Raw genomic sequence first — 18,317 nt, forward strand, 5'->3', positions numbered from 1 at the left:
AAGAGTAAGCTAGCTTATTCAAGATCACACAGCTAGTAAAGTGAATGTCAAAATTAGAACAAGTTTGATTCCTTAGCATATGCTACCTCACATTACCACTGCTTCCATCAGATTTCTGCTGCACATAATTTTATTTTAAGATAAAGGCTCTGTTATATACATTCAGTCTCTAGAAAAAAGTGGAAAAGTATTTGTAACAAAGAAGATTATAGTTTTACTGTCTCTAACGGTGGAAAACTGAAGAAAAAAAAAGTCAAACAATTGAGGGTGCTAAGTAAACTATATATGAATAACATAAAGTAACATATTGCCATAAAAACTGACAAATGTGTGAATTACAAAACCACAAAGAAAAGTTCTTAAAAAGCAAAAATGAGGGAGTAAAACAGTAAAGACTGCTTTCACATAAAAATGACTAGTATGCAGCAATAAAAACTAAAAGATGGTATAGAATCTTAAAAATTTAAACTGTCAATTCATAGCAGCAATTATGTACAAGATTGTATAAGTGTCTTTAAAATTTATTTTTACTATGATGGTTTTTAAATTTTTTTTTACTTTTAAAAATTATACTTGCAGCTAGGCATAGTGGCTCATGCCTGTAGTCCCTGAGCTGAGAGGCTGAGGAAGGTGGATTGCTTGAGCCCAGGAGCTCAAGACAAGCCTAGGCAACACAATGAGATCCTGACTCTATTTAAATATATATACATATATTTAAAAGTATTTAAAAATTATACTCGCAATTGCAAAAGCTTCATTTGATACCACCCCTTAAGCTGTCACCTATTCCAGTCTGCCCCACAACCACCTCTTACTCATGCACTATTTAAATCCCAATACAATCAATTGTAAATCTTAACCATCTTTCAAGACTGAAATATAATATCCCTTTAATACAATCCAACAATATCATAAAACATGGCTGTAGAGAAAAGCAAAAGTGAACAAAAGCCAACACTTAAAGAACTTTATCACAAATTTCACTCTCTCAGATAGAAGTCCTATGATCAGTTCAACTGACTTTTGTAAGCACATAAATGTATCCATACCTGCAATATATTAACTTCTTCAAGAAATTTAGAGTCTAATGGAATATAAAAATGTATATCAGATCATTTTAATAAAATAGTGTAAGTGCTCAAATACATGTGAGCAATAGGTATTACAAAGGATGACTTAGCCCAAATAGGTATGTGAGCTAAATGGGTATGGGAAGATGAGATTTCAGCTGAGTCATAAAGAATGAGTGAGTCAGTGAAGCACAGAAAGGAGACCAGCATCTTCTCAGTTGTGAAGTTTGAAACCTCATGGAGCTGTGAGAGAAACTGACTTATTTCAGATGTAGGGCAGGGAAATTACGAGGTGAGCCAAAGGCATCTTGTTGCCCATAAAGAAAGAAATCACTCAAATACTAACTGGATCACATCAGAAGTTCAGCACTTGTAGAACTTAGTATCAGCCATAAAAGAGTCTGATTTAACTGATCTGGGGTGACGACAAGGCACAATATTTTCTTACATCTCCCAAGCAATTCCAATATGTGAGTAACATGGAGAACCACTATTCTAAAATATAAAATACAAGACAAGTGCTATCACTGTTTAATATCTCAACTTCAGAACTTTCCATATTTTAATATTGTACTCTGATTAGTTATAAACTCATTCTAAATGCCCTGGATAACATGAAAACTACCTGAAGGCAAGACAGTGTCTTCTATTGTCTGAATGTTTGTGTCTCTTGCAAAATTCTTATGTTCAAAGCAAATCACCAACGTGATGGTATTAGAAGGTGGGGCCTTTGGGAGGCGATTAGGTCATAAGGGCTCCACCTTTGTGAATGGAATTAATGCCCTCATAAACAAGTCCCCACAGAACCATCTAATCCCTTCTGCCAAATAAGGACACATAGAAGGTGCCTTCTATGAGGAACAAGCCCTAACTAGACACCAAATCTGCTAGCACCTAGATCTTGAACTTCCAAGCCTCCAGAACTGTGAGCAATACATATCTTTTGTACATAAATTACCCAGTCTAAGGTATTTTGTTATAGCAACCCAAACAGACTATACAATCACTTAAGTTTTATATGTCAACTGCATTAGGCATAGTACTTCTCCATAGTAAAACCTAAATTTATACTGAGAGTGTTGATATAAAGACATCCAGTTAAGTATGGTAACTGAACATACTGATTTACTTCAACTCCTTCCCCAAAATCCTGCTAAAGTACAGTAAGAATTTTAAAAAGGCTTAACCTCCAAAGAGAGAAGGGCAATAGAAAATAAGAGACAGCAATAAAATTTTGGAAATAGAAAGTAGATGAAAGAGTCATAACTGACTCAAAAGATCTGAGAAATCAGTAAGAAGCACATCAATTCCCTCCAAATAACTAAAAAAAAAAAAAAAGCCTAAGAACTTGGAAGTACCAAATATATCTAAAGATAGTGGACACCTGTAACAAGGAGCACACCTGGTACCAAGATCTTGGCTTCTAAAATGCCAATCCCCAGTAAAAGAAACCTATGCTCCTTGAGGAAATGACTAATTTCAAAGGTCAAAATAGGAAAATCACAAGGTTAGCTCTGGGTATCTTGCTAGGCCAGAAGGTAAGGAAACACTCAAAGATTAATGGTATTATGTCAAAAGGACATATAAATAACCAAATTTAGGATAATTTGAGCATCAAAATAATAATAGTAATAATGACTATAACTGATTATAACAAATTGAAAACAATTAGTCTACAGTGTTTTTTTTTTTTATTTTTGAGATGGAGTCTCGCTGTCACCCATCCAGGCTGGAGTGCAGTGACATGATCTAGGCTCACTGCAACTTCTACCTCCCAGGTTCAAGCGATTCTCATGCCTCAGCCTCCCAAGTAGCTGGGATTACAGGTGCCCGCCACCATGCCTGGCTATTTTTCACATTTTTAGTAGAGACAAGGTTTCACCATACTGGCCAGGCTAATCTCAAACTCCTGACCTCAAATGATCTGCCCACCTTGGCCTCCCAAAGTGCTGGGATTACAGGTGTGAGCCACCGCACCTGGCCTATGACAATATTTTTCAAAGAGTTTAAGAAAAGCTGTTCTTTATAGAAAAATTCTAAAAATACACAGTAACTGAAATACAGTATCAACATATTGCACCCTCAATGTAATTTAATGATCAATTCAGGCAAGGAACACCAATGGATACTTGAGTTTGGATATCTGTCCCCTCCAAATCTCATGTTGAAATGTGGTCCTCAATGCTGGAAGCGGGGCCTGGGAAGGAAGGGAAGAAGGAAAGGAAGGAAGAAGGAAAGGAAGAAGGGAAGGGAAGGAGGGAAAGATGATGTAGAGAGATAGAATGAATAATGCCCCCACCCCGCAAGATGTCTACGTTCTAATCCCCGGACTTGTGAATATGTTACTTTACATGGCAAAAAGGATTTTGAAGATAAGATTAAGTTAAAAGTCTTGAGGTGGACAGATTATCCTAAATTATCTAGGCAGGCCAAATGTAATCAGAAGGGTCCTAAAAAGTGGAAGAGGGAGCCAGGAGAGTCAGAGGGAGATGTGAGTTTGGAATAATGGTCTGCTTTGAAGCAGTCTTCAAATAATGCTGCTTTGAAGATAAAGGAAGAGGGCCATGAGCCAAAGAATGTGGGCAGCCTTTAGAAGCTTGAAAAAGCAAGGAAACAAATTCTCTCTGAGATACTCCAGGATAAAAAAGCTTCCCTGCCACCACTTCAGATGTAGCCTAGTGAGATATGTGTTAGACACTGTATTTTGGAAAGCTCCAAAATAATCTCCTTTGACTCCATGTCCCACATCCAGGGCACACTGATAAAAGGCGTGGGCTCCCAAAGCCTTCAGCCACTCCATCCCTATGGCCCTGCAGGGTTCAGCCCCTGAGGCTGCTCTCATGGGCTGGCATTGGGTGCCTATGGGTTTTCCAAGTGCATAGTGCCAGCTATTGGTAGCTCTATCTGGAGGGGTCTGGAGGATGGTGGCCCTCTTCTCACAGCTCCACCAGGCAGTACTCCAGTGAAGACTCTAACCCCATATTTCCCTCTTGCATTGCCCTAGTAGAGGTTCTCATGAAAGCTACAGCCCTACAGCAGACTTCTGCCTGGACATTCAGGCTTTTCCATATCTCCTCTAAAATCTAGGCTGGGGTTCCCAAGTCTCAACTGTTGCCTTCCTTTTAGTTATGAAAATGGCTGCAGCTGGCTTTTGCACCCTCAAATAAGTTTTTCTTTTCTACCACATGGCTGGGCTACAAAATTTTCAACTTTTATGTTCTGCTTCCCCTTTAAATACAAGTTTGAGTTTTACATCATTTCTTTGCTCATGCATATGGGCACAGGTTGTTAGAAGCAGCCAGGTCACCTCTTGAACACTTTACTGCTTAGAAATTTCTTCTGCCAGATACCCTAAATCATCAGTCTCAAGTTCAAAGATCCACAGATCCCCAGGGCAGGGGTAAAATGCCACTAGGTTCTTTGTTAATGCATAACAAAAGTGACATTTGCTCCAGTTCCCAGTAAGTTCCTCATCTCCATCCGAGACCTCATCAGCATGGATTTCATTGTCCATATCACTATCAACATTTTGGTCACAATTTAACAAGTCTCTAAGAAGTTCCAAACTTTCCCTCATTTTCCTGTCTTCTTATGAGCCCTCCATACTCTTCCAGCCTCTGCCTGTTACCCACTTTCAAAGCTGCTTCCACATTTTCAGGTATCTTTATAGCAATGCCCTACTCCTTGGCACTGATTTTCTGTATTGGTCTATTCTCACATTTCAATAAAGAAATATCTGAGACTGGGTAATTTATAAAGAAAAGAAGTTTAACTGGCTCATGGTTCTGCAGGCTGTATAGGAAGCATAGCAGCTTCTGTTTCAGGGAGACCTCAGGAAACTTACAATCATGGTGGAAGGTGAAGGGGAAGCAAGCACACCTTTTTTTTTTTTTTTTTTTTGAGGCAGAGTTTCACTCTTGTCACCCAAGCTGGAGTGCAGCGGCATGATCTCGGCTCACTGCAACATCCGCCTGCCCATTTATGGTGATAACAACTTCTTCCTCTCTTACTTCCTCCCTCTCTGTCTTCGCCCTGCCCCCAGCTATCCGTCTATACTAGTTTTCTATTTCTGCTGTAGTAAGTTATCACAAATGTAGTGGTTCATACAACACAAGTTTATTATCTTACAGCTCTTTAGGTTAGAAGTACAATATGGCTTGGCTCTGTGTCCCCGCTTAAATCTCCTGTCAAATTGTAATCCCCAATGTTAGCGGTGGGGCCTGATGGGAGGTGATTGGACCATGGGGGTGGAGTTGTCATGAATGGTTTATTATCATCCCCTTGGTGCTGTTCTCATGATAGTGAGTTATCATAAGATGTGGTTGTTAAAAGTGTGTAGCACCTTCCCCCTTTCTCTCTTCCTCCTGCTCTAGCCATGAAAGATATGTTTGTGGCCGGGTGCGGTAGCTCATGCCTGTAATCCCAGCGCTTTGAGAGGCTGAGGCAGTCGGATCACCTGAGGTCAGGAGTTTGAGACCAGCTTGGCCAACATGGCAAAACCCCATCTCTGCTAAAAATACAAAAATTAGCCAGGTGTGGTGGTGGGTGCCTGTAATCCCAGCTACTTGGGAGGCTGAGGCAAGAGAACTGCTTGAAGAAGCTGTTATCTCCATAAATGGGCAGTATCAGGCTAGTATGATACTGCTGTAGTGCCATCAGTATGTGGTCTCCACCTTCCAATTTACTTCATGGTTTAAGATGGGTGGTTGAACATTACCACACACTGACTCCAGAACTCAAAAAAAAGGGGAAGGGAATGGCAATATAGAGTATTAATCAGATCTCTTTACCCAGGCTCCCTGGAAGTCCAACACAACATTTCTCTTTTGCAGTGTTCTGAACACTTTTGAAGCTCTTTTCCAAGAGGCTGCAAAAGCCCATGGAATTTCCAGAGATATAAATGTCTTTGTTATGCTAAGGAGTTGACACATGCCAACTGAAGCCCCTAGATAGCTTCAGGATACAGGATGGTCAGCAGAAAGAATAAGCATGTAATTAGCAGGTTAGTATATTTAGCTGCCTGACCTCTGGTGAGTGGATACTAAAGACTGAGCTCAAACAAATGGCCAAAGGTTTAATCAATCATTACTACTTAATGAAACCCCAGTAAAAACTCTGTACATCTAGGCTTAGCAGAGCCTCCTGGTTGGCAAACACATTCACATGTCCTGATTCTACAAAAGGAAGTCACACAGGCTCTGTGTTCCCTCTCAGACAATCATATGGGTCTCTTCATTTGACTGGTCCTCCTGATTAGCATCCTTTATAATAAACCTGTCATTCTAAGTATAGTTCTTTCCTGAATTCTGCCAGTCATTCTAGCAAGTTATCAAACCTGAGGGGATCAAAGGAACTGCTGAATGTATAACCATTTAGTCAGAAGTATGGGTAACCTAGGGACAAATTAAGTGTAGCTGGTATCTGAAGAGTGGTCATGTTGGGGATCATGCCCTTGAACTTGTGGGGTCTGAGCTAACTCTGGATGGTTAGCAGTAGAACAGAACCACAGTACACTCAATTTGTGTTGAAATAGAATACTGTAATTCAGGTGGTATTCAAATGTATTTTCACTGTTTTTCAAACATAGCAAAATAGTGAAATTGATAAGCAACTGATATAAGAAGCACTTTTTAGACAAAGGTGAAAAATACTGTTTCTCTAACAGCTTTTCTCTACAGTTGTGGTTCTCGAGGTGTTCATGAACTCCTTCACTGGGCCCTTTCAGGGATCTACCAAGTCAAATCTTTTTTTCATAAAAACACTAAGCCATTCTTTTCCTTTTTCTCTCAATTGACATTTGCACTACAGGTACAAAAGCAATGACAGATAAAATTGCTGGCTCCCTAGCACCAATGAAGACAGTGGAACAAAACTGTAATCATTGTATTCTTCATTGTCATGCATTCACAATTTTTTTGAATCTGTGAATTCACAAAAAAGACACTTTTGATTAAGAAAATCCTTGATTTAAAAAATACTCTTTTTAGCAAATCTTTTTAGCATCTTTTTAGCATTTTGTAGTGAAATGAGAAATACGCATAAACTATACCTGCTACATAATGAAGTACAATGGTTGTCTCAAGGAAAATTATCTGTGATTAAATTGCATGTTGAACTACAGCTTTTTTCATGAATCATCTTTTTCATTTGAAAGAAAAACTGAGAGATAAACTTTGATTATTCAGATTTGGATACTCAACAGACATTTTCTCAAAAATGAATCAACTGAACCTATGACATCATGGAAACACAGATGGTTTTTGATAACAATTATAAAATTTAAGCTTTCAGTTGAAAAGTCAAATTTTCAAAAGCTTCTATCTGCCACCATGAACTTAACAGTTTCCTAGTATTTAGAAACTTTTCTGATTTTTCCAAATGACAAATACATGACATTACCCGTTCACATATGAATAAAGATCTATTCCAAGTACAAGATAGAGAAATAGATTTTAATGTAACAAAATAGAAAAACTCACTACTATGGTTTCAGATTCTAATACTGGAATTAATCTTTAGAAAATTATCACTGTTGAATTTTGGTGTAGTATGAAAGGAAGAATATCATAATTACCAGAAAACAAATGATTAGAATATTGCTCCATCTTAATCACATATCATATATGTGTTAGGCCAGATATTTTTCATACATTTCCATTGAAATAATGTGTTACAACACTCACAAATAAAAAAAAAAATTCAACCATCTTCTATTAAGCTATCCACTCATTATTTTTATGAAAATAGTAATTGATTCATATAAACAAAAGCTCTTGGGTCCTCAATTCTTTAAAGTGAAAAGGACTGCTCAGGCCAAAAAGCCTGAAAACCACTATTCTATAGTGAATGCAAACCAGGGAAACTAACAGGAATATTTTCTTCTGTTTGATGCATGTTCACCAGCAACAGTACCACAAACTTGTTTCATTTTATATTATGTCCTTCTAATTTGTTTACTTTTTTACATATTTGAAATTTTAACACAGATAAAATTTGGTATATAGTTTATTTTTTCTAAGTAACTGTATTTTAATATGCCTGAAAAAATAATGAAGAGACATGGTTCACAAGACATCAAAAGAGCATCCAGAAAAATGAAATTGGTAATGTGTCTCCATTCTGTCCAAGAGGATGCCCTGGACCACTAAAAAATATACCTGGTCCTTGCAATAGATAAATTCAAGTGGTAGACACGGATGAGCATAGCTTGATGCAGTAGTCAATAAGATCATCCAACTAATCACCTTATTCTAGTAACCATTTTCACCTGACAGCCTTCTGGTCAAAATTTGGATTCCCATGTAAAACTGACTTCAGAAGAGAATATGGTGATGAACATCTGATTACTTGAGGGTTAAATATCTATTTTTAAAGTAATAAATTGGAATTTTGATTTGTATATCAGTGAACTTGGTTAAGTCCATCCTATGAGACAGTTCTATATTTATTACATTGGCAGATCGGTCTTCGAATAATAAATGCTGCTCTGTGATCTTGTCTGGGTAGCCAACTGATCTTCCTTAGAAAATACACAACCACAACCCTTCCGCAAGCATTATGCTCATACTACATCACTGATTACCTAAATTCACACCCTGACAAAGAAGAGGGCTCTGCCAATAACAAAGCATATTAAGTTATATATTTCAGAATAACGGAATAAGAGTGAAACTTTACTAAGAATAGTGAATAAAATAATATTTTAAATGTTAAATAAGTTTTGAGATAAGGCCTTTTAATGTTTAATTTTAGAATAATTCTAGGCATTTTAACAGCATAATAACTCCTCAAAAAAAGAAGTGTATGGTTTGGATGTCACTTTAAGCCATGAAATTTTTATCTCAGCTATTTAAATAAAGTATCTCATCTGAAATATGGTACAATGTATACTTTACACTGCATTAGCTATAACAATAAATAATGGATCATAAACATTTACATATAAAAAGAACAAAATGAAAGGTAAGACTATGCGGAAAAAATACTAGAACAACCACTAGAAGTTTACAAAAAATAAGAAGACAGTACAAAAACATCAATAAAATAGATTGAAAAATAAAGCTGATGAACTAATTGCCTTGAATGTATCAGAAAACTTAAGGGAAGACAAAATATTAGAAATCAGTGGCCAGGCATGGTGGTTCCGCCTGTAATCCCAGCACTTTGGGAGGCTGACGCGGGTGGATCACGAGGTCAGGAGATCGAGACCATCCTGGCTAACACAGTGAAACCCCGTCTCTACTAAAAATACAAAAAATTAACTGGGCGTGGTGGCGGGCACCTGTAGTCCCAGCTACTCAGGAGGCTGAGGCAGGAGAATGGCATGAATCTGGGAGGTGGAGCTTGCAGTGAGCCGAGATCAGAGATCGCACCACCGCACTCCAGCCTGGGTGACACAGTGAGACTCCGTCTCAAAAAAAAAAAAAAAGAAATAATTGACATATATCAGATAAACTAATTGCATGTATTATCAAAACAATTTCAGAAGCATGATAAAATTAAGAATCTGGAAGAAAACTTTCATAGTAACTTATCTTAGTAATAAAACAGAAAATGAATCAGAGCTTCAAAAGCAAGAAAGAAGAACCAATACCCCCATCCAAAGGAACTATCTGGAATGTACCAAAATGTTTCAAAACAGAAAAAAAAAAACCATATGATTACAAAATGAGAAAAAAGGAAATAATGAACAAAAGATTCATGTAATGTAACTTAGTATAATTTGACCATAAGATTAGGGAAATAAATTAATACTAGTCATTAGCAGTTTTTGTATCATCTGGTAAAAGAGTTCCAAGGACAAGAAGTTCAACACCATGAAGTACTATTAGAAGATCAGAATATTATATGCAATACTGCCTAGCTTCATTTTACCAAAGTGCAACAATAATTCAATTCAATCCAAAGTAAATCAATAGCATCCATTGATTTTCTTTCTATTCTATTCCCACCTCTGACTCCTAAAACAGTGCGGCACACACGTCTTAGCTCTATCCCAGTGCCCCCACCACCATATGCCACCCTTGCAATAGCTGTGTCTTGTCCATCACTAGCCTGGTGCAGTCTGTCCTAATGAGGAAAAGCAGGGAAGATGCCCGCATAGGCTCAGGACCATTTAAATGGGGAATCCTGGGATCCTGGGTCTGCAGAGCATGATCTAGGAGGGAAAACTATGGGCTCTAGCACAGAGATGTAGCATGGCCCATGCAGGGCATAATCTTTGGGCAAAGGCTCCAGTTACCGGGCCTAGTGCCTATAATTGACATACTATCCTCAAAATTATCATTTAGCATAAAATCATCCTGATTCGAGTTAAAATATTATGTCACTTTACAACCAAAGTGCAAAGACTAAGTTGTTATAGAATCTGTGAAAGTTAATCAAGTAATCAAAACATAGTAAAATATAAAAATGCTCATTATAAAGAACACATCATTCAAAATCCAGTCATATCTAATAGAGACTACAAAACTTAAGCAGATGTTTACACAAAGGCCTATAAACTCAAACTGATACAAAGAACTGGGTTAAAGCTAAACAAGCAGAGGTCAGCACAGAGCTCCTGTGATTGAATCACAATAAAACAATACACTAGTCCTAAGATAGCAAGAATATGATGCAATAAGTGAGGCTCTGGTCCCAAAACAGTATAATGCCCAGTACAAATCAATTTCACAAAAATCTATAATAGAAGTCAATGTAAATTAGGATTAAGAAAATCAAAATTAACAACAAAAAATATATGAAGAACAAAAAAGAAACAACTGAAAATATGAAAAGTTTATAATTAAAAAAAGACACACAGACATATATACATACATCAAAGTCTACAATCAGAAAAAAACAATAGATCTCAGAAATTTAGTGTGAAATTTAAGAGTAAATAGTAAGTTTTAGAAAGAAAAGAAATCTGTCAACACAGCCCCTCATTTTCGTGCCTAGGGAAAATAAGGCTTAATCTACAGCCTTGGCCAAATATGATTGCCAGATAAATAAACCCTTAGATTCTACCATAAGTTAATTAAAATGATAAAAAAAAATTCATATATTAGTTTCTAACTCCAAATTTCTTTAAGAAAACCTTATGATTCACAAGCAACCAACCAATTCCAAACTCTATGCCAGTGGTTCTTAACACTGGCTACATATTAGAATCACCTGGGAAGCATTCTAAAATTGCTTATTCCCTGAACTCAACCCAAAGAATCTGGTGTTGTCTAGGCCTAGGTTGGTTGGTTTTTAAAAAAATGTCCTATATGAGTGTAAGGTGTATCAAGGGTCAAAGATCACTGCATGAATCAAACAGTATGGATCCAAATTCCCACTACATTTAGCACAAGTTTGGGGAATAAAAACTTACCATTTTTAGAGACAGAGTTCATAAATAGAATGGGAGAAACTAGGAAAACTAATTCAGGGGCCAACTCTAGGCAACAACAATCAAACTGTTCCCCTTGCTAAATAAATAAATACATATATAGTATATAAAATATATATAAATATACATATAATAGACATTTATATAAATATATATGTGTATGTATGTCACTATATTTTATATTTCATCTAAAATTCCATAAATTAGAAAGTCATTGCTGTTTAAAAACTATGTGTAACTTCTGCTTCTAGGAAGATAGAGTAGATGTACATTTTCCTATTTCTCTCGTTAAGTACAACCAAAAACCATGGACATTATGAATAAACAAGCATACGAAGATCCAGACTGGGCACAGTGGCTCATGCCTATAATCCCAGCCACTTGGGAAGCCGAGTGGGGAGGACTGCTTGAAACCAGGAATTCAAGACCAGTTCAAGACCACTGTTTCTAAACATATATATATATATACACACACACACATATGAATTCTATATATACATATATATCAATTCTATATATATATCAACCCATATATATAGAGAGATTCTAATATATATATATATATATGAAAGATGGAGAGAAGGCAGAACAGCTAGGGATCTTGGAACCCAAGGAACATAACTGATGACTTCCCTGGATCTTCTTTGTCCCTTATATATTCCACACTTGGGGCCAGATAAGCCAACAACCAGAAAAAGCTAACAGGTACAAACAAAAAAGCTCCGACAAAACCCTGCCCAAAAGATGAAGAGAAGAACACCATGGAAAGAAGAAAACTTTAGGCAAATTTCACTCTATGTCAGCCAAACACCACAGAAAAAACTGTAGTCCCACTCTAACCATGTCAGAAAGGCTTAGTGGACAGCCTAAAGTTCTATCCTCATGAGACTATAACAAGGTCCCACAATACTCCTGACATGGTGAGAAAAGAACAAGTAGGGAGCCAAGAATTTCACCCCTCTGGAAAGTAAAAGGACAGCCCCCCCTAGCAGTGTCAGTAGACAGCAAGTAGAACCTGTACTTCCTCTCCAAACTGGCAGCAATGAGGTGATCCTCCCACTACCCACTGAGGAGGACTAGAAAAAAGTTAAATTAAGACTTTCACTAACCAGTGGAAATTAGGTAAGCACCAATACAATAGAGACTACACACGGAGAGCTAGAATCACCACTCTGACTCAGCAATAATGAGGAGCCACTCCTGCTACTTGAGTAGGGCAACAGAGACTGAAAGGGGAATCTGGACTTCAACAAACTCTACCTGGCAGTGATGAGCTCCCTTCCCCTCTTAAAGTAATGTCATAAACATTCACCTAAAACAGAAGGTTTAAATAAGATCCAGTCTCAGAATATAATGGGGAAATAGGTCCTGTTTTCAACCAAAAATTACTCATCAGACCAAGAGTCAAAAAAATCACAAACTGACCAAAAAAACAAAAAAGATAAAAGTCAACACCAAAAAAAGACATGTCAGAAGTATCTGACAAATATTTTAAGAGTCTTTAAAAAAATGCTTCAATGAACAATCATGAAAATAACTGAAACAATGTAAAAATAGAAAGCCTCAGCTTTACCAGTACCTTGTGATAATTTATGTACATATAGAATAATACTAAAATAAACCACCAAAAAGTTTTGCATAGAAATATCCTCATAAACACTATAGATAAATCAAAAGAAAACTCTTAAAAAAAATCAAGTAACCCACAGGAAGTAAAAAAAAAGAAAACAGAAATTAAAAAAATGCAAAACTTTAGCCATAACATATTAATAATTACATTAAATGTAAATCGCCTAAATATGCCAATTAAAAGGCAAAAACTGAAAAGGTAGATTTTAAAATGCAACTCAATTATATGTAGTATATAAGAAACTAACTTATAATATAAAAATACAGGCATGTTGAAAGAAAAATGATGGAAGAAATATAACATGCAAACAATAATCAAACCAAAGCAGAAGTGGCTATATTAATAACAGATAAAGGAGACTTCAGCAAAGAAAATTACCAGAGACAGAGAGGGACATTACATAGTGATGAGACATAATTCACCAAGAAAATATAACAAGCACTAATGTATATGTACCAACCAACAAGCTATAAAATATATGAAGCAAAAACTAAAACTTGAAAGGAGAAATAGATAAATTCACCATTATCAGTAGAAATGTCAATATCCTCTAACAACAAGAGATAAAACAAATAGACAGAAAATCAGCAAGGATACAGAAGAAATCAACAACACCATCAACAAAATTTATAGAATACCCCACCTCAACAACAGCAGAGTACTTATTACTTTCAAGTAATCATGGACCATATACCAAGAGAGAACATATACTGAGGCATAAAACATACATCAACAAATTTTAAAGAACTGAACAGAGTAGAGTCTCCAAGCACAATGGAATCACATTAGAAATCAATAACAGAGACATAATAGGAAAATCAAGCACTTGAAAACTAAAGAACACGCTTTCAAATAATCTATGTGTCAAAGAAGATGTCTCGATCGGGGGAGGAGCCAAGATGGCCGAATAGGAACAGCTCCGGTCTACAGCTCCCAGCGAGAGCGATGCAGAAGATGGGTGATTTCTGCATTTCCATCTGAGGTACCGGGTTCATCTCACTAGGGAGTGCCAGACAGTGGGCGCAGGCCAGTGGGTGTGCGCACCGTGCGCGAGCCGAAGCAGGGCGAGGCATTGCCTCACCTGGGAAGCGCAAGGGGTCAGGGAGTTCCCTTTCCGAGTCAAAGAAAGGGGTGATGGATGCACCTGGAAAATCGGGTCACTCTCACCCGAATACTGCGCTTTTCAGACCGGCTTAAAAAACGGCGCACCACGAGACTATATCCCACACCTGGCTTGGAGGGTCCTACACCCACAGAATCTCGCTGATTGCTAGCACAAAGCAGTCTGAGATCAAACTGCAAGGCGGCAGCTAGGCTGGGGGAGGGGAGCCCGCCATTGCCCGGGCTTGCTTAGGTAAACAAAGCAGCCAGGAAGCTCCAACTGGGTGGAGCCCACCAGAGTTCAAGGAGGCCTGCCTGCCTCTGTAAGCTCCACGTCTAGGGGCAGGGCACAGACAAACAAAAAGACAGCAGTAACCTCTGCAGACTTAAATGTCCCTGTCTGACAGCTTTGAAGAGAGCAGTGGTTCTCCCAGCACGCAGCTGGAGATCTGAGAACGGGCAGACTACCTCCTCAAGTGGGTCCCTGACCCCTGACCCCCGAGCAGCCTAACTGGGAGGCACCCCCTAGCAGGGGCACACTGACACCTCACACGGCAGGGTATTCCAACAGACCTGCAGCTGAGGGTCCTGTCTGTTAGAAGGAAAACTAACAAACAGAAAGGACATCCACACCGAAAACCCATCTGTACATCACCATCATCAAAGACCAAAAGTAGATAAAACCACAAAGATGGGGAAAAAACAGAACAGAAAAACTGGAAACTCTAAAACACAGAGCGCCTCTCCTCCTCCAAAGGAACGCAGTTCCTCACCAGCAATGGAACAAAGCTGGATGGAGAATGACTTTGACGAGCTGAGAGAAGAAGGTTTCAGACGATCAAATTACTCTGAGCTACGGGAGGACATTCAAACCAAAGGCAAAGAAGTTGAAAACTTTGAAAAAAATTTAGAAGAATGTATAACTAGAATAACCAATACAGAGAAGTGCTTAAAGGAGCTGATGGAGCTGAAAACCAAGGCTCGAGAACTACGTGAAGAATGCAGAAGCCTCAGGAGCCGATGCGATCAACTGGAAGAAAGGGTATCAGCAATGGAAGATGAAATGAATGAAATGAAGCGAGAAGGGAAGTTTAGAGAAAAAAGAATAAAAAGAAATGAGCAAAGCCTCCAAGAAATATGGGACTATGTGAAAAGACCAAATCTACGTCTAATTGGTGTACCTGAAAGTGATGGGGAGAATGGAACCAAGTTGGAAAACACTCTGCAGGATATTATCCAGGAGAACTTCCCCAATCTAGCAAGGCAGGCCAACGTTCAGATTCAGGAAATACAGAGAATGCCACAAAGATACTCCTCGAGAAGAGCAACTCCAAGACACATAATTGTCAGATTCACCAAAGTTGAAATGAAGGAAAAAATGTTAAGGGCAGCCAGAGAGAAAGGTCGGGTTACCCTCAAAGGGAAGCCCATCAGACTAACAGCGGATCTCTCGGCAGAAACCCTACAAGCCAGAAGAGAGTGGGGGCCAATATTCAACATTCTTAAAGAAAAGAATTTTCAACCCAGAATTTCATATCCAGCCAAACTAAGCTTCATAAGTGAAGGAGAAATAAAATCCTTTACAGACAAGCAAATGCTGAAAGATTTTGTGACCACCAGGCCTGCCCTAAAAGAGCTCCTGAAGGAAGCGCTAAACATGGAAAGGAACAACCAGTACCAGCCGCTGCAAAATCATGCCAAAATGTAAAGACCATCGAGACTAGGAAGAAACTGCATCAACTAACGAGCAAAATAACCAGCTAACATCATCATGACAGGATCAAATTCACACATAACAATATTAACTTTAAATGTAAATGGACTAAATGCTCCAATTAAAAGACACAGACTGGCAAGTTGGATAAAGAGTCAAGACCCATCAGTGTGCTGTATTCAGGAAACCCATCTCACGTGCAGAGACACACATAGGCTCAAAATAAAAGGATGGAGGAAGATCTACCAAGCAAATGGAAAACAAAAAAAGGCAGGGGTTGCAATCCTAGTCTCTGATAAAACAGACGTTAAACCAACAAAGATCAAAAGAGACAAAGAAGGCCATTACATAATGGTAAAGGGATCAATTCAACAAGAAGAGCTAACTATACTAAATATATATGCACCCAATACAGGAGCACCCAGATTCATAAAGCAAGTCCTGAGTGACCTACAAAGAGACTTAGACTCCCACACATTAATAATGGGAGACTTTAACACCCCACTGTCAACATTAGACAGATCAACGAGACAGAAAGTCAACAAGGATACCCAGGAATTTAACTCATCTCCGCACCAAGCGGACCTAATAGACATCTACAGAACTCTCCATCCCAAATCAACAGAATATACGTTTTTTTCAGCACCACACCACACCTATTCCAAAATTGACCACATAGTTGGAAGTAAAGCTCTCCTCAGCAAATGTAAAAGAACAGAAATTATAACAAACTATCTCTCAGACCACAGTGCAATCAAACTAGAATTCAAGATTAAGAATCTCACTCAAAGCCGCTCAACTACATGGAAACTGAACAACCTGCTCCTGAATGACTACTGGGTACATAACGAAATGAAGGCAGAAATAAAGATGTTCTTTGAAACCAACGAGAACAAAGACACAACATACCAGAATCTCTGGGACGCATTCAAAGCAGTGTGTAGAGGGAAATTTATAGCACTAAATGCCCACAAGAGAAAGCAGGAAAGATCCAAAATTGACACCCTAACATCACAATTAAAAGAACTAGAAAAGCAAGAGCAAACACATTCAAAAGCTAGCAGAAGGCAAGAAATAACTAAAATCAGAGCAGAACTGAAGGAAATAGAGACACAAAAAACCCTTCAAAAAATCAATGAATCCAGGAGCTGGTTTTTTGAAAGGATCAACAAAATTGATAGACCGCTAGCAAGACTAACAAAGAAAAAAAGAGAGGAAAATCAAATCGACACAATAAAAAATGATAAAGGGGATATCACCACCGATCCCACAGAAATACAAACTACCATCAGAGAATACTACAAACACCTCTATGCAAATAAACTAGAAAATCTAGAAGAAATGGATACATTCCTTGACACATACACTCTCCCAAGACTAAACCAGGAAGAAGTTGAATCTCTGAATAGACCAATAACAGGAGCTGAAATTGTGGCAATAATCAATAGTTTACCAACGAAAAAGAGTCCAGGACCAGATGGATTCACAGCCGAATTCTACCAGAGGTACAAGGAGGAACTAGTACCATTCCTTCTGAAACTATTCCAATCAATAGAAAAAGAGGGAATCCTCCCTAACTCATTTTAGGAGGCCAGCATCATTCTGATACCAAAGCCGGGCAGAGACACAACCAAAAAGAAGAATTTTAGACCAATATCCTTGATGAACATTGATGCAAAAATCCTCAATAAAATACTGGCAAACCGAATCCAGCAGCACATCAAAAAGCTTATCCACCATGATCAAGTGGGCTTCATCCCTGGGATGCAAGGCTGGTTCAATATACAGAAATCAATAAATGTAATCCAGCATATAAACAGAGCCAAAGACAAAAACCACATGATTATCTCAATAGATGCAGAAAAAGCCTTTGACAAAATTCAACAACCCTTCATGCTAAAAACTCTCAATAAATTAGGTATTGATGGGACGTATTTCAAAATAATAAGAGCTATCTATGACAAACCCACAGCCAATATCATACTGAATGGGCAAAAACTGGAAGCATTCCCTTTGAAAACTGGCACAAGATAGGGATGCCCTCTCTCACTGCTGCTATTCAACATAGTGTTGGAAGTTCTGGCCAGGGCAATCAGGCAGGAGAAGGAAATAAAGGGTATTCAATTAGGAAAAGAGGAAGTCAAACTGTCCCTGTTTGCAGACGACATGATTGTTTATCTAGAAAACCCCATTGTCTCAGCCCAAAATCTCCTTAAGCTGATAAGCAACTTCAGCAAAGTCTCAGGATACAAAATCAATGTACAAAAATCACAAGCATTCTTATACACCAACAACAGACAAACAGAGAGCCAAATCATGAGTGAACTCCCATTCACAATTGCTTCAAAGAGAATAAAATACCTAGGAATCCAACTTACAAGGGATGTGAAGGACCTCTTCAAGGAGAACTACAAACCACTGCTC

The 18,317-nt window shown here is 38.1% G+C and overlaps 1 protein-coding gene across 17 annotated transcripts in view, besides 1 other annotated feature; it reads right to left on the minus strand.

Annotated features, from left to right (window-relative positions):
• The window catches only part of STK3 (serine/threonine kinase 3), a 598,636-nt gene that overhangs the window by 256,509 nt on the left and 323,810 nt on the right, over nucleotides 1–18,317 (minus strand). The window lies entirely within an intron of this gene.
• Nucleotides 12,630–12,719: an enhancer, noted in NCBI's record as "active region_27679". NCBI's record gives its function as "activates an Ori minimal core promoter by ATAC-STARR-seq in GM12878 lymphoblastoid cells {active_cell/tissue: GM12878}" and the evidence as "EXISTENCE:reporter gene assay evidence [ECO:0000049][PMID:35858748]".

The sequence above is a fragment of the Homo sapiens genome, chromosome 8 (genome assembly GCF_000001405.40).
Source record: "Homo sapiens chromosome 8, GRCh38.p14 Primary Assembly".
NCBI lineage: Eukaryota > Metazoa > Chordata > Mammalia > Primates > Hominidae > Homo > Homo sapiens.